Below are 26,210 nucleotides of genomic sequence, written 5' to 3' on the forward strand. Positions count from 1 at the left end.
TCCCCACCCCTCGTGGTCCTCTGCCTGAGATGGCCCCTATCCGAGCAGCTTTGTGGATCTAGAAGTAGAGCCAGCCCTTTCTGGCTGCCACAAAAGGACCTTCCAAGCACCTTCAAGGCTGACACGAGCCCCCTCCCACCTTGGGATGTGATCCCTGTCCTACCTTCCATTGCTGAGGGCAGAGAACCTCTGAGAGACCAGGAGCAGGAGGTCAGCCAGCTGCAGTAGCCCCTGAAACCACAGCCCTTCCCTGTGTAGCCCTCACCTCCCATGTTCTGTGGCCAGCAGGGTCTTGGCTCGGTGCACTCATGGGCCTCAGGAAGTCAGTCCTGGACTAGACGGAGCCTCACAGATCCACAGGCAGTGTCAGGCTTCGTCTCCCAGTCAGGGCCCAGTCCCTGTTTTTAACTTTCTTTGCTGGAGCTGCATAAATAAATAAACACACGAGTGTGTGGACGGATCCTGCCCTGCTTTGGATTCCTAACCCCAGTTGGTCTGCTCCCGAGTTGCCAAGATCTGAATAGTTAAGATAAGGGAAATCCTCTGACTCTTCTCATCTGGGCCATTTGCAGGAGGGCAAACGTCCCTCCCTAAAGACAATTATTTCACAATTTCTTGCATTTGTATTGATTTGTGTATTGGTATCAGCCCCTTGCTAAGCTCTAAGCTCCACAACAAGTAAAGCAATATGTTAACAGTTCATCCCTCATCCTGATCCTTCCCATTCCATAGGAGAGGTCATTCTTTCTCCAAGAGTGATCTGGGTGCATTAAAAAATGCAGGTTCCCAAATCCCACCCCTAAATGATAGAAGTTGGGCCAGGGAATCAGATATCTTTGCTGGCTCTTCAGGTGACTTATGTGCATATCTACCTTTGAAACACTTTGAAGTAGATAAGAAACAGATCTATGCTTTTCTTTTTTTTCTTTTTTTTTTTTTTTTTTGTATTTTTAGTAGAGACGGGGTTTTGCCGTGTTAGCCAGGATGGTCTCAATCTCCTGACCTCGTGATCTGCCTGCCTCGGCCTCCCAAAGTGCTGGGATTACAGGCATGAGCCCCCGCGCCCAGCCAAGAAATAGATCTATGTTTTTCTATAGAAGAAAAAAAGACTGGCCCTTCTCTTTTGGAATTTCAACTGTTTATATTTAATGTAATTAGTCTTATCATTTCATGATAACTTCTTAGGATTTGTTTTCTATTTGCATCACCTTTTCTCTTCTTTCCTTGTTTATTTTGCATTAATCAGGTATTTTTTAAAATATATATATATATTCCTATTTTGTAATCTTCCGTGAGTTTGTCAGTTTGACTTCTAGTCTTTTTTTTTGGTTTGAGACAGAGTCTTGCTCTGTCACCCAGGCTGGAGTGCAGTGTGATTATCTTAGCTCACTGCAACCTCTGCCTCCTGGGTTCAAGCAATTTTCATGCCACAGCCTTCCAAGTAGCTGGGATTACAGGCATGCACCACGCCTGGCTGATTCTTCTATTTTTAGTAGAAATGGGGTTTTGCCATGTTAGTCAGGCTGGTCTCTAACTCCTGGCCTCAAGTGATCCGCCTGTCTCGGCCTCCCAAAGTACTGGGATTACAGGCATCAGCCACCACGCCCAACCCTATTATTCTTTAGTAAACATCCTACAGATGACAATATATATCTCTGATTTATTGGAGTCTCCGTAAACCACAACATTACTGCTTGGGCAATGGAAGAGCTTCAGAACTCTCTAAAATCATTTAACCTCCTTCTGACTGTTGTATTATTCTTGTCAAATAATTTAATTCTATATATAAATTTCCACAGCTAATAGTTACTGCTGTTTTGTATACTCATGGTTAATTTAAATTTCCCAATATATTTGCCCTTTCTATTGCTCTTCATTTTTATTGCATTTTCCATTTAAAATTATTTTTCCTTCTAACTGAAGAACTGCACTCAGTATTTATGTGAATGCACATCTGCTGACAATAAATTATCCATTTTTGCTTATATGAAACTATTTATATCACTTTCAAAGGATATTTTTTAATAAAATAGAATTTTAGATTGACAGTTGCTTTCTTTCAGCATTTAAATGTATCATTCCATCATCTTCTGGTTTAATTGTTCCTGTTGGTGAGTTAGCTGTTTTCTTACTGTTTGTCTTTTAATAGTCATATCTGTAGTTCTCAGCAGTTTTACTATAATGTGGCTAGGTATATATTTCTTTCTCTTTATCTTGCTGGGGTTCTTGATTCTGTGATTCTGTGATTTAATGTTTCATCATCTTTGAAGAATCTTCACTTGAATATCTTCATATAGCACTTCTTCCTGGCTTTCTCTTTCCATTCTTTTTAGAATTTAAGTTACATATATGTTAGACCGTTTTTGTTTTTTGTTTTTTTTTTGAGACGGAGTCTTGCTCTGTTGCCCAGGCTGTAGTGCAGTGGCGTGATCTCGGCTCACTACAAGCTCCGCCTCCCAGGTTCACGCCATTCTCCTTCCTCAGCCTCCCCAGTAGCTGGGACTACAGGCACCCACCACCACGCCCGACTAATTTTTTTTTTGTATTTTTTAGTAGAGACGGGGTTTCACCGTGTTAGCCAGGGTGGTCTCAATCTCCTGACCTCGTGATCTGCCCGCCTCGGCCTCCCAAAGTGCTGGGATTACATGCGTGAGCCACCGCGCCCGGCCTAGACCTTTATAAAATCATGCTCCCTGTGGTCTAATGCTGTTTTGTGCATTTGCAATTCTTTCTGGTCTTCATGTTTTAATATGGTTATTTCCAGCAAACCTGTTTTCTGCTTTGGCTAATCCGCTGTTACACCAACTGTGTTTTCACTTACAGTTATTCTACATTTCATTTAGCAACTCTTCAAGTAATTCATTTTTAGATATTCCATTTCTCTAATAAAATTCTCCATCTTTTCATCTTTTTATTGAACATGTTAATAATAGATTTAAAAAAATTATCTGTGATAGTCTCATTAGCCAATCGTCTGTGAGTTTTCCTTGTCTTTTTTTCTTATGGTTTTGGTTATTTGGTCTTATTTCTGATACGCCTCATAATGTTTGTATGAATGCGGGGCATTCTTTTTAAATATTGCATCTCTGGATGATGTACCTTTCCCCAGGGAAGATTTAATGTTTTTTTTTTTTTTTTCCTGACAGCTACTATAGTGAGGCTAGATTACCATAACTGTAAGGATTCAAGGCTGATTTTTCATCTTTCTGAGATCTGTTTTATTTGGTTTGTTGTTCCTTCCCTAGATCGAGTACTTTGAGGTACTCAACAGAAACCACTGTTTATTTTCCATGGCTCCAATTATTTAATGATGAATCCCTGAACTCTAAGTTTTGCTGCTATGGCATCATTATACTGGGGAAAACCTAGCTTTGTTTTTTAGCCTCTCAGCTGCACAGTTTCAGATGGGCTTCAAACCTCTCACTCTGTCTCTGTGCAACTTAGGAATGCATAATTGCTGCAAAAGGAAAGTACTGCAGAAAAGCAGACTCACTGCTAGAAGTTCTATTTTCTTTAAGATCTCGGGGTCTCAGACCCTGGCTTTCTTGGTAGCCCCAAACATCAAGTTTTGTGTCCCCAGAACCATAACTTGCTGAAAAGCTCAGTTCTTGTGACTCGTAGCTCCCCTTATTTACAAACTGGCAAACTCCCAAAAGGGAAAAGAAGCCGAGAATGTCAGGCTTAGATCAATGCATTTCCCTTCTCTCTAAGGCCTTGGTCCTTTAAGTCCTGGCAGCCAAAATTCCTCCCTGATACTTTCAAATAGGTCTTTTCCTCAGTATACTGCTAGTTGTTCTATGGGTCTTTTTGAAAGATGAGATTATCTTTTCGAAACTTGCCATCTCTCAAAACAGATAAGTGCTAAATCACATCAGTTATTAGGGCCTCGTGAATGTCCAAAATGGAAATATTCCAGAGATGGACAAACACTTAAGAGCACCTATGCAGAGCTCCCATTTTTTCAATTTGTAAGTTCTAAGTTTATAGAAAAATATGAATGTTTTAAATTTTGGTACCTACTTACTCTTGAAACACGGTGCTTGAAAAACATAATCAAAGTTAAGAAATTTGAAGGATTGCAGCATGGATGTTAAAGCACAGATTCTGAGGTCACACTGCTTGGGTCCAAGTCCTGCTTTACTCCTGCCTAGCAGGTGACCTATAGTAAGTTATTTAACCCCTCTTGGTCAGTTTCCCCATCTCTAAAATGGAAAAGATAAGTATGCCAATCTCAAGGGATGCTGGGAGGATTAGACAAGTTAACATACATGAAACACATAGAACCCAAAATCATGACTGCTAGGAAAACATTCACTAAACAAATGAACCAAACAGTTTGCTGGACAGAGGCCCTCTCTAAGCTGATTTCAGCCCACAGCCCACCATACTGAAGCCTCTGCCCTGGTCCAGCCCTCCATGCTCTACAGATAGGGACAAGGGGAGGTATAGAAAGAAGGGGCCTGCTCAGGCATTCGCACAGGTGGTTAGATGTAAAACTGGAGGTAGGACTGGAATTTTCTTTTGATGCATTTTATCAATTAAATTGTGTGCTCTGTAAGTGAAGTAGCTAATTTCCCTTGAAGGCAGAGGGGTCAAATCTCCCTCAAACTATAGATAATTCTCTAATTGCTGTGTCTGCCCCAAATCCATTGTGATCATTAGCAGAGACCCTTGTGCTCCGGCTGAGAGAGGAGAGGGAGGCTCAGGCTCATGATTGCTCATCTAAATGTTTAATAATGCTCCAATCTGCAGATCACTGGGGCATCAAACCTAAATTAGCCTGATACTCAAAGCCACGAATAATAAGGGGAATGAAAGGGATAAAGTTTATTTAATGAACATTTCATCAATGCAGATTTCTCATTGAATATTAAGGTTTTGGCTTGAAGACAGCATCAGAGTGGAGTCTGCTGTGACATTGACCTTTATCCCTCAGAGACACAAGTGCAAAGTCAGGCTGGTTTCACTCTCTGAGTGACAGCATGGTGGATCGTCCTGGCAGTTACAGTGAAGGAAGGCCCTGAGCCTGGGGTAGAGCTGGCTCAGCCCCCTTCTTTTCAGGGGGTTTCTCTGCAGGTCCCGGCATCTCTCTCCACCAAGGCTGCCCTTCCCGGACCTCCCACTCCTCATTCAGGAGCTCCTCCCTTCTTCCAGCTGTGCAGCCCAAATCCTGGGAGTCCTCCCTCATCTATGCATGCTGTCCTCTTACTACTGCTGTTCAATCCATCCACAAGTGCAGTCAGCCTGACCTCTGTGAAGACCTGCTTAGAGGCTCTGGTCATGACAGTGACAGCCAGCGCCCTTTCAGCGGCATGCAAGGTCACGCACAGATCCAGTTGTGTCCCCTCTGACCTCAGCCCCCAGTGTCCTCCTTGCACATCTTCCTCTAGACACATTGCCCCCTGCCCCTCAGACACACTACACACACCTGTCCAGGCCCACACTGGCTGTCCCTCTGCCTTGGACCATCTCCCCTAGAATCCATGAGACCTCCATTCCTTCAGCATCCTTGCCCCATGTCACCTTCTCAAAGGTGCCTCCCTGAGCGCCTGCTTAGACTCCTGCCCATCCCCCTTGTTCCCGTCATCCTCTGCAACTTTCCTCCTGGGGGTCATCAGCACCTGGCTCCAGACATTGCTATTGTTTGAAGTTCATCAGGTGCTCAGCAGCAAGACTGGAGGAAACAGACATGAATAGCAAGGACCTGCCAATTTCTAACAATAAGTCCACCAGGAGTAGTGTCAGGCCGGGTCTAGGTCCTGGGGACACACCAGAGGGCAAAAGAGCCAGAGTCCCTGCCATCCTGGGCTGCCCCCCGTGCACCCACGGACCCTGGACCTCCAGCAGGAGGGGGAGGAGCCTCGGCTGCAGACACGGCTCTCAGGGAAGCCCTTTGGCGGAGGGGCTGTTCGAGTTGAGCTCTAGACAGCAGAACAATCCACCCAAGTGAAGACTGATGAAGAGTGCAAAGAGTCGGAGATTTCCGGAAACGGGGGAGGGCTTTGCCTCCAGCCAGGGTGACCGAGGAGGACAGTATGAGACGGCAGGGTCGTGTGGCCCGTGTGATGATGCTGGGAGCCGATGCGCATTGATCCGTGCGCCACTTTACACGTATGTTCTCTTTTAATCTTCACAGCCACCTGCTAATCTGTTATTAGCCCATTGTACAGATGGGGAGACTGAGAGGTCAGTCTGTGCCCAGCATCACATTTCTGTACTACTCAGCTGTTGTCACGGTAATACCCCATCACAAACCATCCCAAACTCAGTGACGCACAACCGCCGCCACGTCTCAGCTCCTGGGGCTGCAGGTCGTCGGGGCTCAGCTGATCTGAGCTGGGGTCCCTTGGGCTTGTTGGGCTCCATCGGGGGACTCTGCTTCCTGCTGAGAGGCACGGGGGCTGGGCCCCGGGATCAGGTTCCCGTCCACCCTGCGGAGCTCTCCTCAGCCTCAGGGCGGCGGCTCCTCAGGGTCCTTTTGTAGTGAATGACAGAAGCCCAGAACCAAACCAGAGCCCCAGGCGCATCCCCAGTCCCCGCCTGCATCAGAACCACAGGGGCTGCATGTCCAAAGCAGGTCACTTTCACTGCACAGGGCAAGGAGGGGGCCCTGGGACAGCACAGGGCAAGAGAAGGGGGTGTGCCAACCTATAGCAGGGAGTGGACAGCTGGGACCCTGACCTGCTGAGCACAGGCAGATGGGGTGGTGACCAGCTGGGCCCTCACCTGGGCATCGGGCTCTGCACCTTCACCCACATCCGCCCTGTAGCCTCAGTCATGGGAGGGGTTTGGATGCTAATCGGGGGGTAAGGGGAAGCTGTCCTGGGTTGAAGAGTGTCCCCTGCAAGTTCAGGTCCATCCAGAACCTCAGCGTGCATCTTAGTTGGAAACAGGGCCTTTGCAAATGTACTTAGTTAGGTAAAACTGAAGCCACACTGGATTACAGTGGGTCCTGGGTGCAGTGATTTGTGTCCTTGTAAGCAGGCCGCGTGAGGACACATGGGGAGGACATCATGTGACCACAGAGGCAGAGATCAGAGCCAAGCATCTGCCAGCCAAGGATCCCAAGGTTTGCAGGGACCGGGACCGCGGGAGCTTGGGAGGAGGCGGGGAACAGTTTCTCCCTGGAGCCTCCGGAAGGACTGACCTTGCCAATACCCCGACTCCAGCTTTCTGGCCTCCTGAACTGTAAGGAAAAGTGTTCTGATGGTTTCAGCCACCAGTTTGTGGTTGTTTGTTAGAGCGGACCCGGGAAGCTAATACAGAAGCCGGAGGAAGGGCCTCGGCCGGGAACACACACTCGGACTTGTCTTTGGAAAGACCTCAGGCCCCGAGGGCGGTCTGTGAATGTTTCTGTCGGTAAATTAAATTCTTGAGGGTTTTGCCTTGGCTGAGTCCTTGCCTATGGCCTCCCAAGAGTTGAAGGTCACATTTGGGGCTCACCCACCTTTCAGCCCCTTCTTATCTCCTCATCCTCAGGGCGGCATTTCTGTTCCTCTGTTAATCCAAACAACAGCTCTGTCTCTCATAAATGAGGTTGCCTTCAGTCATTTGCATTTTAACAAATTTGTGCCTTTTGTCCCTATTTTCCTAGGCAATGAGTCAAAGAGCAGAAGAAGCCCCTTCACCCTCCAGCCACACATCACCCTTACACACACAACAGCACAAAGTGGGGCCCTCTCCCATCAGAGCAGGGAGAAGACCCTTGGGCCTTGGGATGTGGAGCAAGTCACTTTTTTCTCCTCAGCCTCAGTTTACCCCTTTGCAAATGAATGGGTTTGCCTAAATGGCTTCCAAGGGCTTCTCCTGAATCCAACATTCTAGGATTCAAATATTTATTGTAGAATTCTCAGTATTCCATTCTCTGAGTCTTTCCCTCATCCAATTCTTCAGCAAATCCTCATGCAGAGCTCACTCTGCCACAGGCCATTTTCTTACTTAGAGCAGGGATCCAGCAGCGAACAGACAGATGAAATTCCACACTCATGTGGGTGACATTCCTGTGGGTGCAAATGACAATAGCAAAACTGCAAGAGAGGGCATCAATTCCAGATGGTGACAGTCCTGTGCAGGTCACGGGGACATGGCGTCGGAGTGCAGAGGGCTTCCTTGGGAAGGTCAGGGGTGTTCTCTGAGTGGGTGACACCTGGGTGAAGAACAAAGGGCAAGAGGGCGCAGGTCAGAGGGCGGCTGTGGGAAGAGCATTCCAGGACGCAGGAGCAGCAGGTGCACAGGCCCTGGGGCAGGAGGACTGGGGCGTGGGAGGAGGAGCCAGAGGCCAGTGCGGCTGGGATGGGGGAGTGAGGGGAGGTGGTGGGAAGTGATCTGGGGAACCAGCAGGACTCTGCTGGGCCTTGTGGGAGGTGATGAGGAGGTGGAGTCTGCTGTTCCCAGTGCAGTGTGAGCCGCTGAAACATCCGCTCAGGGCCACATGACCATTTTCAGGAGCTCACTCTGGGTGCGTGTGGAGAGTAGATTTCAGGCGTGGGAAGAGGAGTGGGAGCAGGAGGTCCCATGGGGGCTGTTGTAATGACCCAGGTGAGGACAGAGGTGCAGACTTTGGGACAGCAGCAGGGTGTGGACAGGAGTGGACAGACGGGGTGCATTTTCAATTCAATAGATTCCATGGCAGCTGGAAGATGAGGGAGGGCCTGAGGATGCTGCCTGCTCACTGGCTTGAGGAACCGGGCGTTTGGTGGCGCCACCAACTGAAAGGGGACACTGAGTCTTTGGTGGCTTCATTGAAAACTTGCCAGATATGAAAGCCTGAGACGCTCCGATAACTGAGCCTCCAGGCTGTCCTCCCAAGGGCCTTCTGGATAGGAGGCCATGGGTACAAAGGAACTGGCATCCTGGTTCCCATGTCCCAGGCCCAACCCAGGGACTGAGCCCCAGGAAGACCACAGAGCAGCACAAAGCCCAGATCTGCTGCTGCCTGGGCAGAGCCAAGCCCAGGATTTATGAAGGAAGCTGGCAGGAGCGGAAAAATTCCTTCGAAGATTGCCTCACTCATCACCATCCTCGGTGGCACCCTCAACCACAGGATGGAGAATCATTAGAAGATGGCAGTCTCATAGGGTCCTTCAAAATTACCACTTGCATTTGAACAAAGCTGTGCTTTCTTAGCCCCAACCCTCCCCATAAGCCTGGGCTATCAACTGGAGATAAATTTAGCTGCAAAAAAATGTCAAGATTCAGATACCCAGCTTAATCAAGGACACATTCTTCATTCCTCGGACTGTTGTACTTCTCAGGAGACCCCAGGGATTGCATGAGAGACTGAATCATCTTGTAAGTGAAATTAGAAGGAAGGAAGGAAGGAGGGAGGGAGGGAGAGAGGGAGGGAGGGAGGGAGAGAGAAGGAGGGAAGGAGGGAGGGAAGGAAGGAAGGAAAGAAAGAAGGAGGGAAAAGGCAAGAAAGGAGAAAGAGGACTCTGAACATTCAGATAACAAAAGATTTACAGATCTGTTCTGACGTTCTGTTGACGGGGCACCCCATGTTCAGCCAGTTTTGCCTGTTTCAGTTTTTGTGACGAGTGCTCCTTGATGTTGGATGTTGGGCACAAGAGCACCCTCCTAAGCATCCAGCCTCTGTCTACTTTTTCCCTTTTGTGGGCACTGGTAACTTTCTCAGATCAGCACTAGAAACTCCCCTTTGGCTAAAATAATTACCAATGTGAAAATAACTGAGACAGGGTAGCCCTACCACATGCCAGTTTGCAATGCTCAGCACGCACCAACCCGTTCGTGCTTCCCAGGACCTGTGAAGACAGAGCTGCTTTTAGCCCACTCTCTGCTGGGGAAGCACAGGAGGTGGGGAACTTTCCCAGGTTAGAGGTGGGCCCTCAGGGCAGGTTGTGTCCCCAGGGCCCCCTCCCACAGGCCTTTCTCCAACAAAGCAGCCCCCCCATTTATCCTGGCCAGATAACTGATTCCTTCCTGGTTGGCCTTGGTCTTTGGAGGACTTGCACCGAGTTTGCCAGGAGGGTGGGACTGACTGTCTTTGGTGAATTCATGGGGAGTTCCAGATGGAGCCAGCCCCTGGGAACCTGGCAAAGCAAAGCTTAGGTTTCCTGGTAGGGGAGGCCCAGAGACCATGTGCTCCCCCTGCTGGGGCCTCGTCCACCAGCCCCCAGACAGCCGCCTGCTCTGCAGGACCCAAAGTCAGGAGACAGAGGTGGACAATCCATGTTGCCTCTTAAATGTTGCAGCCACAAGGCAAGAGGTCCTCAAGATGCGTCCCAGCAAAATCTAGAGATGAAAGTCAGCCTGTGTGAAGAGTGTCAGGAACCTACTATGGGGTCATTGTACATTTTCCCTAGCTAAAAAGAATGGAAACCAAAAAAATGAATTATAAATAGACACTGTAGGGCTTCTTTTATTATTACACATATACAGTTTCACAAAGCAGTGAGTCACCCTTATTCACATTAAGCAAAGTTCCAGCTTCCATGAAAAGGTCATTTTTCTATGCTTTTCTAAGATCCTGCCTGAAGGTGCCTGTTTCTCTCATGGGAAGGATGCAATGCTGCCTCTCACCATTGCAGCTCCTGACAGCCTATGAATGCCCGAAGGCCTTTTCCTCCTCTGTGATAGACACATTGTGATATGGATTTTCAAGGTCCATTTTATTCCTTCCAGAAGAAAAAGAGGCTTCATAATCTCAGAGCAGATTTGTCATATATATATGTGCGTGTGTGTGTGTGTGTGTGTGTGTGTGTGTGTGTGTGTGTATATATATTCAGAGGTTATTGGGGAAAGACATAGGAATTGCTTTTTTCTTTTTAAATTGATTTTTGTTTTGTGGCAGCAAACTATGAGATGAACAAGAATGAGCATAAACCTAACTCTAAAACAGAAGAAAAATCACTGATTTTTAAGGAGAAGTGCAAATAGTAAGAGAATGCATATCAGCATGCGTTTATGAGTTCTAAATCTTGCCAAAACTAAAATCGTTTTTAAGAAAATTTTTTAAGCATTGTTACAAACATTGAATGCATCATCTTCAAATGTCTTTAGTAGACATGGAGGCATGGGAGAATTAAAGCCAGTCTTTAGGAAGGAATAAAAAGCTACACTAAAGTTAATTATTGATCTCACAATGGATGAGAAGAAAACACTTGGATTATAAAAAGGAAGCCCAGACAAAATAATATCACTTTGTAATGTCGAAAACTTAAGATTTTAACTTTTATCTTATGTATCTGTTTCTGATGAACATTCATAATTATACATATTGTATTTATTTTCTTTGTCTTATAAGAAAAGATAAAGGATAAAGAGACGAATGTGTTTCAGGCGTGGTTCAGCCTATGAAGTCTCCATATTCATAGGAAGCCACTGGATTTATACAACATCAGGGGATCATAATGAACACCACGGTCTACTCTGAGTCTTGCAAAAGTGAGAACAATGTTAAAATGAAAACCCCAATTAGCCTGAATTAAGAGGCACTATTTTGTTCTGACCAGAGAGGATTTTCTCTGTGTGGTCTTATAGTTGAAGTCTCCTACCAGTAAGTTAGCATGTATTGGAGAATCTAAGATCTTTCCCAAGTTGGTCTGTTTTAGTCAGACTGTCCTAATTCCAACTGATGGCATCTAAATAAAAATTTATCTTATTAAAAAAGGCATAATGAGGAGTAATTGGCTCATGTCATTAAAAAGTCCAAGAGCAATAGCTTCAGGCATGGCTGGATCCAGGTACTCAAATGATGGTATCAGGAAGTGACACCCACCCCCCCACCTCCTAGCTGTGACTTGTTCTCTGTGAATCCCATTCTCAGGCAAGCTCTTCTGTCCTGGCACCTATTCACATCCTCAGGAGCTCTGAGAGAAAAATAAATTTTCTGTCCCACAGTTTCAACAAAAGTCTCAGAATTGAGTCTCACATGTCCACCTATGATCCAATCTCTGTCCAAGGGCATAGAATTTTCTAATGGCTCAAACTCACTGCTGTTACAGCAAAAGATAGCAAAAGAACCCAGACTCAAGCTTTTCAAACAATGTTTTGCTGTTTAGAAGAGCCATGCTGCAGGAAGGAAGGAGGACAGAGAACTCACCAGTTACTAGTGGCTTTTCATGACCTGGCAAAACAAGGAGGTGACATAGCAAAACAAGCCCATTCAGATTGAATGACAGGGTACCTAGACCCACCTTTCATGGGAGGAGTGTTTAAAACCATGCAGCATGTTTTTAAAACCACCATAGTTGGTAGTCAGCTCAAAACACATCCTAGATTGGCTTTTCCTCTTCCCGCATTTTATTCTTGCCAGTCCCCCAAATCCAGATCCTGGGATCATTTCTGGGAAATAATCTACCTGCTCTTGTCTCAGGTCCTGCATGTGGAGGATCCCAGGCAAAGACACTGTCCATAGCCCCTTCAGGCTTATCGGATATGGTTTGTTTTAGATGGAAATGAGTTCTATACTGAACCTGCTTCAGGTGGAATTTGTGATTATCCTTGAGATAAAGGAAATTCACCCAGGGGTAAATTCCAACATAAACACATATTCTGCTTTCTTTCAAAAGACTACTTTACCTTCTACTTTTCCCATCTCTTCCATTAATGGTTGCCTGCATTCCCTGAACTTTGCATAATTGGAAGAGCTCTTTAATTATCTTTTAATTCTTTCTCAATTTTCAGATGCATTAGCATGTATAAAAGGGAGATGAAACATTGCTCCCCCCTTTTTATTTAACTTTATAATCCTTTTGTTACAACGTGGCAGGGTCTGGTTTGACTCAAATTACACATCTGAGTAGCTCATTAAAAAGAAGTTGCCTGGGAGTTTGAATTTGCTTTCTCTGCTGAGTCACTTTACCTCCATAAACCTCAGACAAATAAAGTTCAGAACTGGAGGTCGCATACAATGCTGGTTTATGTTAAAGTATTCACCATTTACCTGGGTCATACTTAAGCCTTGATTTTTTTCCCTTTCCTAAAAGAAGCAACCTGCGACTTTTTTGACCAGAAGAACAGTTAGCATGCTTAACATCTTTGCTGATTTAGGAGTTATTTCAAAGAGGTCTTCTGGTTGATTTACTTTATCTTACTTAGGGGATGCTATTTTGTTATCTTTTTAAATTTTTTATTTTAGAGACTGGGTATTGCTCTGTCACCCAGGCTGGACAGTGGCACAATCGTAGCCCACCGCAGCCTTGAATTCCTGGACTAAAGCGATCCTCCCCATTCAGCCTCCTGAACGGCTGGGACTACAGGCATGCATCACCATACTTGGCTAATTTTTAAATATTTTTTTTGTAGATACGGAGTCTCACTATGTTGCCCAGGCTGGTCTTGAACTCCTGGCTTCAAATGATGCTCCCGCCTCAGCCTCCCAAAGTACCTGAATTATAACTGTGAGCCACTATGCCCAGCAAAGCTGTTTTTAAAATGGGTTTTTTCATAAGTTGATGATAGTGCTGGGACACCCCAGGTCATGAAGACCCCCAAAGCTCCTCAAGTAGACAAGTAAAGCACAAGATAGACTGTCGCCTTGCTGGTTGGATTCTCATACAACCAAATGGCACTGTGGGTTGAGAGGATGCTATCTTGTTTACATGTCAGAAAACCTGAAGTTTATCAACAACATCAAGTTGGCTGTTTGCTCTGTGCCTAGACAGTCTTCTTGTATATGTACTGTATACCCAATAACATATAAACAATTCATCTGTTTAATACTTTCAACACCCTCTGAAGAAGATATTATTTTCTACCCCAAGCACAAACAGGAGAAAACAGAGGCCCCAAGAGCTCATGTAACTAGCTTGTAGATGGTACAACCTCATCTTGAACCTAGAACTCCAACTCCAGAGCTTGGGCCAATAACCATGCATCACCTTTGCAAGGGAGTCTTCTAGGGTGACCAGATTTAGCAAATAAAAGCACAGGATGCCTGCCCAGTTACACAATGAATATCTAAATATTGCATGGTCCTGGAATGAATCTGGCAATCTTAGATTCTCCTGGCTGAATCTCCAGTGCTGACAACATGGCCCAGCACAGAGTCCTCCACAGATGACCAGAGACAAAGCAGGAAACGTGGCCCGTGGGACTGATATCGTCACCATGAGACCTGTGAAGAGGGTGACGAGGCACACCAAGAGGACAAAAGGAACAGGTTGAAATGTGTGGCTACGTCTAGAAGGAAAATGATAACAGGCATCCTTGTGAAGAGACACTGGTCATCTAAATTCATGGCACGTCTGCATAGCGTTCAGGAAAGTGTTTCAAAAACGTCCTCAAAAATTTTCCCTATCTATACCCCACTTGTACTATGTTTTACTTTTTTCTTTAATTTGACTCACTGTTTTACATAAATAAATATATTCAAACAGAACACTTGATATCACCACTGTAAAAGTAAAACTATTATCATTTGCTGTAAGTTGAAGGTTACTATATGATATGGTTCGGCTATATCCTCACCCAAATCTCATCTTGAACTGTAGTTCTCATAATCCCCACATGTTGTGGGAGGACCCTGGTGGGAAGTGCTTGAATCACAGAGGCAGCTACCTCCATGCTGTTCACGTGATAGTGAGTGAGTTCTCATGAGATCTGATGGTTTTATAAGGGGCTTTTCCTTCCCTTCACTCTGCACTTCTCCTTCCTGCCACCATGAGAAGAAGGACATGTTTGGTTCCCCTTCTGCCATGATTGTAAGTTTCCTGAGGCTTCTCTAGCCATGCTGAACTATGAGTCAATTAAATCTGTTTTTTTATAGATTACCCAGTCTTGGGTGTGTATTAGCAGCGCCAGAACAGACTAATACACTGTAAGGACATATACATAACTTAAAAATTGTCCAAATAGGCCAGGCACGGTGGCTCACATCTGTAATCCCAACACTTTGGGAGGCTGAGGCAGGTGGATCACCTGAGGTCAGGAGTTCAAGACCAGCCTGGACAACATGGTGAAACCCCTTCTCTACTAAAAATACAAAAATTAGCCAGGCGTGGTAGCAGGTGCCTGTAATCCTGGCTACTCAGGAGGCTGAGGCAGGAAAATCGCTTGAACCCAGGAGACAGAGGTGGCAATGACCTGAGATTGCGCCATTGCATTCCAGCCTGGGCAACAAGAGTGAAACTCCATCTCAAAAAAAAAAACCCCAAAAAACAAAAAAAAAAAACCCTGTCCAAATAATGCCTAAGGTTATTTTTCGTGTTACAGTGAATGGGTACTACCCATCAGGAAATATTGGTTGAAATAAGGGACATTATGCATATAAATTTATACTAATGGATACAAAAATATTCATTTTAATATATTAATTTGACTCCTTAGGAAATTCATTTATAATTTTAACTCTGTTGAGCTATTCTTGAATAATCACTTAAAAATCTTAATGAGAGAAAATCAACCAGCCAGAAACAACTCCCAGCTGAGCCCTGACAAACCCATATGGCAGTCACTTCCAGGGCTGGGTTCTCTTTAATGGGTGTTATAGGAGTGGTTCTCATGGAGATTTCTGTTACTTTAGTTCAAAGCCGCTCATGCCATGAATTGCAAACAATTGAAGAGGATCAGTTATGAATTTATTTTGGGAAAGGCCTTCTTTGTTGAAGATACACTGGAGGCAGATTTTTGTGGCATATCCGGTAATTGATACTAATCCTGCATGCCTCTGTAAGAGGGTTATACACTGTGACCTTTTGTCATGTACCTCTGCAGGGCCCTCCCACATGGGCAGAGTGGATCTCCCACCCCATACACTTTGAGCTTGGTCATGTAACTTGCTTTGAGCCATGTGAGAAGACTTTGCATAGAATCCACCTGAGCAAAGCTTGTACATCCGACACAAATTGCACATGTAAGTATTTCTTCAAGCAATTGTTCCTCTTCTAGCCAAGGTCCCAGAACAAGAGAGGCACAAAACTGAACTGAGATCATTTTACAGGCTGTAGCCAAGCCCAGCTGGTCTGCAGCCTGAGCCAACATCAGCCAAACCCATCTACACTATAGGCTCTTGAGTGTGAAAATAAACATTTGTTGTTGTAGGTCACTGAATTTTGGGTTGGTGTGCTACATATTACCATGATGGCAAAAACTGATATATCTCTGTATTTTAAAACTGAGCCCTTCTTTGTCTGCATTTATTGGAAATGGGCTCCTAAGAAGTATCTCATGCTGTGGATAGACAAAGGCACTAGGTCAGGGGCACATTGAGAGAATGGTTTTCTCTCGCCATCAATAGCAGAAAGCACAGGTCTTCGTGGTTTTCTCAGTCCTTCTACCTTAAAGCAGGTCAGCCAAGTTCACCACCCTTGAGCCAGGCAGTGTCCAGCAACCTCCTCCAACAGTGGATGGCCCAGGAAGAAGAAGAGAATAAAGAAGAAGAGAAGAGCACACTCCTGAGCTCACTCCTTTCATCTTCCTGCTCTTTGATTTCAAAGTAAATAACTTGTGAACATTTTCACCCCGATCATCTGAGATAAGATGGAGATGGGTATAGAAATGAATGTATTGATTAGGCACCATTCACAGACCTGCTCCCTTTTTTGTAAGAGGCTGTAATTTGAGCGCTCTGATTTTTCAAGTCAGTGAAATGCTAAATGGAAGCCCATCAGCCAGTATAAAAGAGATTTCCAAAATAACATCACAGGGAAAAGATCTTTTGATAATATATTCCTAAAGAGTTTTAAGCTACATAACATTTTCTGCCCCTAAATTGGCAGCTCTTGCTTCCTTCGCTTTCCAGTTTTCCAGATTTCCATCCCAGAATGTTTTTTATGTTGCAAAACGTGCTTACCACTTACCTCCCCACCAGGCGGAATTGTCTCTTTCGCATATTGCAGTTAATTTTAAACCCGAGATGGGTGACTTCTTCACTGCTGAGTCACTGGAATGGGAATGGCCTGATGTTCGGCATACATGTGGGCAGAGATATGGGGTCTGTTAGTAGAAAAGCAACACTCAGCATATCCCTGAAGAGACCAAAATAACAGACAAATGAATCTCTGCTGCTCTCCAAGAAGGATCTTCCTTTAGTAGAACTTTTCCCAAAAACAGAAAAAAGGAGTCTTTCTGGCCACCTGTCAAAATCTAGACAAGTCAAGAAATAAGTGACATGCAAAGGACTAATATCCAGAATCTGCAAGAAACTCGAACAAATCAGCAAGAAAAAAACCAATAATCCCATCAAAAGCAGGCAAAAGATATGAATAGATATTTCTCAAAAGAAGATATACAAATGGCCAACAAACATATGAAAAGAGGTCCAACATCACTAATCATCAGGGAAATGCAAATTAAAATGACAGTGAGATACCATCTTACTCCTGCAAGAATGGCCATAATTAAAAAGTCAAAAAACAATGGATGTTGGCATGGATGTGGTGAAAAGGGAACACTTTTACACTGCCGGTGGGAATGTAAATTAGTACAGCCACTATGGAAAACAGTATGGAGATTCCTTAAAGAACTAAAAGTAGGACTACCATTTGATCCAGCAATCCCATTACTGGGTAACTACCCAAAGGAAAAGAAGTCTTTATATGAAAAAGACACATGCACACACATGTTTATAGCAGCACAATTTGCAATTGCAAAGATATGGAACCAACCTAAATGTCCATCAACCAAGGAATGGATAAAGAGAATGTGGTATACCATGGAATATTATGCAGTTATAAAAAAGAATGAGATCATGTCTTTTGCAGAGACATGGGCGGAGCTGGAAGCCATTATTGTCAGCAAACTAATGCAGGAACAGAAAACCAAATACCGCATGTTCTCACTTATAAGTGGGAGCTGAATGATGAGAACACACGAACACATGTGAAGGAACAACACACACTGGGTCCTGTCAGAGGGTGGGGAGTGGGAGGAGGGAGAACATCAGGAAGAATACCTTAGGGATATTGGGCTTCATACCTAGGGGTGCTCTGTGCAGCAAACCACCATGGCACACGTTTACCTATGTAACAAACCTACACACCTGCACCTGTACCCCTGAACTTAAAATAAAAGTTGGAAAAAAAAATAAAGTATGGATTTCATCTTAAAAAAATAAAATAAAATGTGGTATATATACACAATGGAATACTACTCAGCCATAAAAAGGAATAAAATGATGTCTTCTGCAGCAATTTGGATGGAGCTGGAGGCCATTATTCTAAGTGAAGTAACTCAGGAATGAAAAACCAAATATCATTATGTTCTCACTTATAAGTGGGAGCTAAACTGTGAGGATGCAAAGGCGTAGGAGTGATATAATAGACTTTGGGGACAAGGGGGGAAAGTTGGGAGGGGCTGAGCGTTAAAAGACTACATACCAGGTCCAGACGGGGTGGCTCACGCCTGTAATCCCAGGACTTTGGGAGGCGGAGGCGGGTAGATCACGAGGTCAGGAGTTTGAGACCAGCCTGGCCAACATGGTGAAACCCCGTCTCTACTAAAAATACAAAAATTAGCTGGGTGTGGTGGTGCACCCCTGTAATCCCAGCCACTTGGGAGGCTGAGGCAGGAGAATGGCTTGAACCCAGGAGGGGAGGTTGCAATGAGCCAAGATCGTGCCATGGTACTCTAGCTTGGGTAACAAAGCAAGACACTGTCTCAAAAAAAAGAAAACAAAAAACAACAACAAAAAACTACATACTGGGTACAGTGTACACTGCTTGGGTGATGGGTGCACCAAAATCTCAGAAATCACCACTAAATAACTAATTCATGTAACCCAAAACCACCTGTACCCCAAAAGCTATTGAAATAAAAATTTAAAAAATTAAATTTAATTTAAAAAATTTCTCAGAAAAGAATAAGTGTCATGGGAACATTTTAGAGGTTATGAAAGAAACACAAAGAGAAGTGTCTCTCTTCAGGGAACCCTCAAGATGTAGACAGAGACAAGATTTTAAAATGTACAAGAAGGACGTATGTGTGATGTCACGGTGCCAGATGAACATGCTAAAAATTCCAATTCCCTGAGTCTCCATCTACAGAAAAGTGCTTCCATTATAAATGATGCATTTTGCTGTGGTTATACCCGCGTCTTCTGAAAAGTATGTGTTTTAATTAAGTATTCTTCCTTCTCCTGTAGATGTTAGAATTCCCAGTCAGTCTAAGTTTTGATGGTCCAGGCATCATCTACCACCGCTCGAGCCGAAGAATAAGAAGTCCTCAATCAATTTTGGTTGACAACCTAGCGACGCTGGGAAGCCTGGGAAGACAGATCTCACTTTGGGCTGGGAGGGTTACAAAGAAGGGGCGTCTTCATTTTGTGAGGAATCGTAATGTTCCCTTGCACATGGGCTGTATTTTCTCAGAAGCTGACACTGTTTTCGGGCAGGAGGCCCATGCATGAAATATGACTCACACTTCGTATCACAGCTGAGAGTGACCGCAGTGTGAACCTAAGATCAGTTCTCAATTTGTACCTGGTCAGATGCAGCTGCTGGAAAATTCCCAGTCCCTAACAGTCTAAAACGATTCGTAAACTCAAATAGAGAGAAAAGTGGAATCATCCTTCAATATTACTATCTGGACTCCCCCCAGCTCCCCGCCACACACACAAAGCCTGCCAGGTCTCCACACTGCGTTCATCTGAGCAGAATTTACAAGCCCCACAAAGGAGAACTCAGGCCACGACAGCTACCGGGCAGGGGACACAGATGGGCCAGGCAGTTGGTATTGTACAGACCTTGGCAACAAGAGGGTGTACACTGACCAAAAATTAATGCATCACAACTAGATTATTAGAATAACCCATGTTCACTTCACGCTGAGCATGAGCCCACTCATTGCTCCTCAGTCACAGCTTCCCTCCCTCCACTCCCTCATCACAAACCTCTCTCTCTCCTTAAATCTCCTCCTCCCTGCCTGCTTTACCAGGGCTCCAAAGCTCCCTCTCCTCCCCTGGCTGGTACCCGATGTGCCTGCAGCCAGGGGCACAAGTGTGGGGACAAGGTGCAGATGCTTCAGCTGGTCATTCCCCTTCTCCCTCTCCAATACCTGGACCCCTTCTCTGCCTGGGGCTCCCTGTCCCAGAACTGGCCCCTGAGAACTGTATCTCCTGGGCTCCCTGCCCTCTGGCATTCAGTTGGGGTTCAGCAAAAGGGAGGCTCCCCTAAAGGTTAAGGACAGGAGGGGAAAGGTTGGGGTGCCTCTTCTTTACTCTCGCTGTGGTGTGACCGCAGCCCTGTGGGCAGCCCCTTCCCTGCAGGAGTTTCCCAGGGTTGCCCATGCACTCCCCTCCACCTGCCCCTCCAGCCCTGGGCTCTGGGCAGCTCCCTCACTTGCTGGTCCCCAGGTGCTCCCAGTTTCCTTAATTCTGCCCCAAACCCCTGCCTTGCATGCCTGTGTTTCCCACCGGGACTAGGTGCGAAAGAATCTGCTAGACCAGAGCCCAGGAAACAATCAGGAACCGAGTCGCTGACCCAAAGGAGGCTCAGCAGAGAGGAACCTAAGTCTGCAGCCCTGGGTGCTGCGACTCTTCCTACCACAGAAACCAGCAACGCCGCACATGGCCACCCACATCCCCAGTCCTGCGCCTGCGCCTCATTGGCCCTGTGCACACATCGCCACGGGGTGCCCCACACCACAACCTGCCCTGAGGCTTGGCTCCTGCAGCTGAACCAGGCTACAGAGCAGCAGGGAGGGGTGCAAGCTCTCCTTGGAACCCTGGCTCAGCCCCTTCCAAGCTGTGTGGCTGTAGGGAGGTTATTTGCCCTCTCTGGCCTCAGTCTCCTCCCCTGTAAAATGGGTGGCATGATGGACCTGCCTCGTGGGGTGGGAGGGGGCTTCAGTGATATGCTGCAGGCACAGTGTTCAGATCCAGGCCTGCACAGGACGGGCTCAGTAAACCCGAGCTCTGGGGATTTTCCTGTGCCTGGGATGCCCTGCCCAGCTTGCCTCCCGCAGCCCAGGCCTCTCTGTAGACTATGCACACTGCACAGGTTTCTACCCTTCCGTATTCAATCTGCCCTCTGTATCTGTGGGTGGGTTCCACACCCATGGATTCAACCAACTGCTGATCAAAAATGTTTGAAAAAAAATGTGCGTCTGTACTGAACATGCACAGACTGTTTTCCTTGTCACGATTCCCTAAGCAATACCGTATAACAACTATTTACATAGCAGTTACATTCTGTTAGGGGTTATAAGTAATCTAGAGATGATTTAAAGTGCATGGGAGGATGTGCGTAGGTTATATGCAAATACTAGGCCATTTTGTATTAGGGACTTGAGCATCTGTGAATTTTGGTATTTGCAGGAGGTCCTGGAAGCAGTCCCCTGTGGATGGCGAGGGATGACTGCATATACATTTTCCTCAAGTCCCCCTGCAGCCCTCTTCCCTGCCTTTAAGGAAATTCCATGTCTCCCAGGCAGTGTCCACACCTCTGCCTCACCACCACTCACCCCGGCCCTCCCACTGGGCTTCCCAGCCCTGCTCCCCAGAGCCTTTCCTGTGGAGCTCCCTGTGCTCCCCACAAGGACCCGCCCAGTCCCTCCTGGGTGTCTGCAGAGGGTGGCCCTGGGGCCTCTTTCCTCCTTGTCTCCTCTCCTTCCTCTCTCCACCTAGCCAGGCCTTCTCAGCAACTTTTGTCATCTCATCCTCCTGCAGGGGGCCTAAATGCGGGTGTCCCTCAGGTTCCGTGGAGTCTGCCTTCTCATTCGCTCTGTTCCCCCTCCTGGGGGTCTCAGCCACCCTTGGGCCACAGCCACACAGGGGACTCCTTAGCCACACCAGCCAACCGCTCTCCTGGCTTCAGACCTGCAGGTCCACATGGCTGTCCCACGGCACCTTCAACTCAGCCCAATAAATTCACCCCCAAACGTAGGCTCTTTGGGGGTCACCACCTCAGTGACTGGTGACCCCGTCCCTCCAGGCCCATCCAGAACCCTGGGCAGCTCTCCCATCCCCTGTCCCTTCCTCTCCCTCTCGTCTCAAACCCAAGTCCTACTGAGTTGACTGCTAAATGGCTCTTGGCTCTGTTCCATTCCTTCTTCCTCTGCTGTCACCCTCCTAGCTCAGCTGACCGTCCTCTCTCACCCACATGATGGCTTCACCCACCTCACAGACCACCCTGGCCCTGGGCAGCCCCTCCTCCCCATTCCCCATACCATGGACAGAGGGACCTTCTGGCCACATCACATCCCTGCTAACCTCACTGAGGTCTCCCACTGCATTTAAAGACACCCCCCGTGCCACAACATGGCTGGAAAGGCCCTGCACTGTCTGCTCCTCCAGCCCCAACCCCTGCCTTCTTCCCTCGTCATCCTCACCCCAACGCTGCTTAAACCCCACTGAACTTCATTCAGTTTCTTCACTCTGCTGCTCCATCTTGCCTCCAGGATTTTGCACGTGCAGTTCCCCTGCCTGGGACTCTTCCCTGCTCTTTTCATCTGCCTGAGTCCTCATCATCACAGCAGCACACCCTCCTGGAAGTCTGTCCTGGGTTTCCTGCTCCTACCTGCTCCCATAACACCTGAGCTGCCCAAACACACAGATAAGCCCTGTGGTGTCACTGCTGGGTGCTTTCTCATTTCCATGAGCAAAGGACGGTGACCCCCTGGCCCACTGCCCAGGACAGTGCTTGACACAGTGCGGTGGGAGGAGGTCTCAGCAAGTGTCTGCAGAGTGAATTAAAGAATTATTTTATCCTCTGGGCTCCTCAGCTGGATCACGAGCTCCTGGGGAAGTTACTGGGGGCAACACTCTCCGGGCTCCCCTCAACAGCTCACAGTTCGCAAACATTTGACTGAGTGACTGAGTCAGCTCAGGCCCTGCAGTCTCTGGCTGTTTCCTTCCAATCGTGGTGAAAGTCACCCTCGAAGGCAGCCCTGGGGAGGATAGAAGGCAGCGCCTTCCCGTCACTGAGCCCATGGCAATCAGAGCCCAATGTCACCAGCGACTCCTGTGAAATTAGCAGTGACTTCACGCGTTGAGGGCATGGGGCAAATGCCACCACCTGTCGGTATTTCCATCGGGTCTACACCCAAGAAAGGGGGAGATGCTGCCTTTCTGAAGTAGGTTGTGCCTGAGGCGGCCTCAGCAGAGAGGAAATGTGTAGGCGTCCACAGCCAGCCCAGCCTGCTCAGAATCGCACCCACACTGAAGTTCTGGAGTTGGTGGCAGTGATTCCTCCTCCAGCTTCCCAGAGCCTTGGAGTGCACTTAGGAGATCAGCGAGGCCTCTGTGCACTGATGGAAGCTGGCTTCCCCAGAAATCTGCTGGAGTGAGGGCCTGTCAGGGGCCCTCCTGGCCGACGTTGACCAGGACTGGCCCAGGGACCAGGTGGACACGAGGGCAATGATGTCACAGCTGCCCCGACGGTTGATGCCCCGTGGCTTGCCACGGCCGTGGCCTTGGAGACAGGGTCTCCGGCGCAGCGCCTCAGCTCCGCCCATACTCGCTCCGCCCTGGTGGGCTCCAGCCTTTCCCTTTCCCTGGGGCTCAGCCTCCCAATCAGTCAAATGGGCAGATTAACACCCATGGCCTTGACTCCGTCAGAGACTGGGGGAAGAAATCGTGAGTCAGGGCAGCGAGGTCTGCGGGGAGCGTTGTGAAGGTGTGAAGTGCTGAGCTCCCAGGTCCCTGGCTGCCACCATGGGCTCGGAGCCGCGTGGTGAGTTCGCTTTCATTCCTTAAAAACAGGCAGCCGCTAAGTGGAGAAACTGGGACACCCTTTGCATCTTCTCAATCTTAGTTCAGTGCTGTTTCCAATAAACCACGGCTATCCTTTATCAGGGATAAAGTCCTTTGGATCATCCAACTTCAGCTTGGACAGAGTTTCCTGATAAATAACAACAACAATCATAGTTGCCTGTGTTTCCCAGAAAACAAAGATGAGGCAAAAGCTTATGTGCTTTAGCACATAAAGTGCATTGTTGGAAGAGTGCATTCCCAGGCTGCAGGAGTGAGGAAAAAGGAGAAGGAGGCAGAAAAGGATGAAAAGAAAATACAAGGAAGCTTCTATCAAGCTGGGCACAGACTGGGGACAGCCTCACTGCACGGTCTTGCAGAACGTTCTCAGAGATGGGACAGGAGCTGCTGTAGGTTCAGTCTACCTGGGAAAGAGGGAGAGGGATTTGCTCACCAAATCCCATGTCCCATTCGTCAATGTCTGCCCCACGAGGTATTAATTTCCAGCACTCCCGGAGCTGCCTGAATGTGGGCCCCCAAGGGTCCCTTGGAGTTGAGATCTCAAAGGTAACAGGGAATCCCTGACATGTGCCAGGATGGTCCTCTGCCAGAATCCCCTCCCGCAACATTTCCCCTGGGTCTGGAGAAGCCTAAGGAAATAGAAGTGGGAGGGGCCAGCCCTCGAAGCCTCATTAACTAAGGCTTCAGCGTGGGACAGTTACTATTTCATCTGATGGACTCCTATCTTAGGACTTCAAGTGCCCTTTCTTTTCTCTCCTCCTAGATAACTAGTACTCATGCTCCAAGGCCCAGCTCAGATGTGATTTCATTCCTGACTTTTCAAGGCGGAATTCTTTACATTTTCCCCTGGGGCCCCCACAACACTTGGCTTACCCCTCTTTATGGCATTGTGATGGACACTGCCATGATTTTGCGCATCAAGCTCCTGCCTTCTGTTAAAATGGCTGGGCTTTCCTTTGGGAACCCCCTCAGTTAATCAGATGTGAGTGGGACTGATTTCTCCACCACCCCTAGTCACCCCATCCAGAGAGTGGAGGTCATTGGCAGAGCTATTCCAGGACCAGGTCTGGAGACTCTTGGTCCACGTTACCATCCATCTCATCTCAGGCTGTTGATTTGTCTATGGGTAGTTATCTCATAGTTGGTACAAGCAATACTGTTGCTTAGCTCACCTATCATCTGTTCTTAACCCTCTCTCCCTAGCTACCTTCCAGCTAGGCATTGCAGGAAACAGAGTCCTGGACAATGAAATATAAGTAGAAGTCTGCTGTGGGTTTCCTGAAACTGTTTTGCTTTCTTGATTTAGTCACTGTCTTGCCCTCTCTTCCCCATCTTCCTGCAGTTGATGTGATGGGTATGATGGATGTGAAAGATGGAGCAGCAGCAGCCGGTTTGCAGCCTTGAGGGAAAGGCCAAGAGGCTTGTGGAAGTCTCGGTGATGCCATCTCCAAGATGCTGAACCACGACCAGCAATTTCCTACCCCAGATTTCTCAAGATTTGAGGAAAACAGTTATGTAATTAAGTTTCTATAGCTACGCTTTCTGTTCCTGGAAGCTGAAAGCATTCCTGATTAATGTGGTTAGTTTTCTGTTCAACTAGCAAACAGTACAGTGGTAATGACAGAGTCCTAGACTATCTGGGCTGAAAGGAACCTCAAACAGAGGTCAACCAGTGACCTGTCCTTTCATTTCACAGGGACGAAAAGGGACAGGAAAGGGGTCCTTTCTGGGGTGCTTGTCCAGGGTGCTTCAGGGAGAGAGGGGTGGAACCAGGACTGTTTTCTGCATTTCTCAGCAGCTCACGGTTGCTTTCACCACACCTCACTGATGTGTGCTATCTTCCAGGCAATAATGACAAGAGCCACCATTTACTTATTAGGCCAGGTGCAGATTAAGTACTTTGCCTATATCAATTCATTACATTCTCACCAAACTCCTCCAAGGGAGACAGTCTTGTTATCATTTGCATTTATGAGGATGAAGCCAAGCACAGAGAGATCAAGTAACTTGTCCAAGTATCCAAATCCAGACATTGTAGTGATGATGACTCCAACCTCAGGAGTCTGGAGCCTGAGCTCCCACATGGAACCACTAGGCTGTACTGCCTGGGTGGGGTTTCAGAAATGCTGGTATAAGATTCCAGGCTGGTAGGAGCTTCTTAGGGTGAGACGAGTAGGGGCAAATCAGCAGGGCCACCTCTCTGGTAAAGTCCTTGGGGCACTGCTTCCGGGAAACACAATGTCAGTGGTGCCACTGGGCTGTCCAATGTGGTGGCCCCAGGGTTTTGTCCCTGCAAGTGTCACACTGTGAGTTCCTCAGGAACTAGATGACAACATAAACAAATGAAGCCAGGTGACTATAGTGAGGGGTGTGGAATGAGGCCAATTGGGGAGCCCAAGCACCTTCTAAAGGAGCATCGGCCCCTCAGCTTCAGCCTCTGTTACTGTGGGAAAATATGGGTCCACATTTTACAGTTTTATAGGTTTTCAATGACTGCCTCAAATCTGGACCTTTTTCTCTCTCTCTGCTTTAATTTAATTTAATATATCTCTCTTGGTTGTGCATCATTTAATTTTATTCTTAGGTAATTTTTTTATTGTTA

General features: G+C 47.0%; 5 annotated features.

Moving 5' to 3' along the window:
• Positions 85-663: an enhancer, noted in NCBI's record as "H3K4me1 hESC enhancer chr20:46948811-46949389 (GRCh37/hg19 assembly coordinates)". NCBI's record gives its function as "activates a minimal SCP1, AML or CMV promoter by ChIP-STARR-seq in naive H9 embryonic stem cells {active_cell/tissue: H9 hESC(naive)}" and the evidence as "EXISTENCE:reporter gene assay evidence [ECO:0000049][PMID:30033119]".
• Positions 19,433-19,482: an enhancer, noted in NCBI's record as "active region_18014". NCBI's record gives its function as "activates an Ori minimal core promoter by ATAC-STARR-seq in GM12878 lymphoblastoid cells {active_cell/tissue: GM12878}" and the evidence as "EXISTENCE:reporter gene assay evidence [ECO:0000049][PMID:35858748]".
• Positions 19,593-19,702: an enhancer, noted in NCBI's record as "active region_18015". NCBI's record gives its function as "activates an Ori minimal core promoter by ATAC-STARR-seq in GM12878 lymphoblastoid cells {active_cell/tissue: GM12878}" and the evidence as "EXISTENCE:reporter gene assay evidence [ECO:0000049][PMID:35858748]".
• Positions 20,013-20,102: an enhancer, noted in NCBI's record as "active region_18016". NCBI's record gives its function as "activates an Ori minimal core promoter by ATAC-STARR-seq in GM12878 lymphoblastoid cells {active_cell/tissue: GM12878}" and the evidence as "EXISTENCE:reporter gene assay evidence [ECO:0000049][PMID:35858748]".
• Positions 20,163-20,212: an enhancer, noted in NCBI's record as "active region_18017". NCBI's record gives its function as "activates an Ori minimal core promoter by ATAC-STARR-seq in GM12878 lymphoblastoid cells {active_cell/tissue: GM12878}" and the evidence as "EXISTENCE:reporter gene assay evidence [ECO:0000049][PMID:35858748]".

This window comes from Homo sapiens, chromosome 20 (assembly GCF_000001405.40).
Source record: "Homo sapiens chromosome 20, GRCh38.p14 Primary Assembly".
In the NCBI taxonomy this organism is placed as follows: domain Eukaryota; kingdom Metazoa; phylum Chordata; class Mammalia; order Primates; family Hominidae; genus Homo; species Homo sapiens.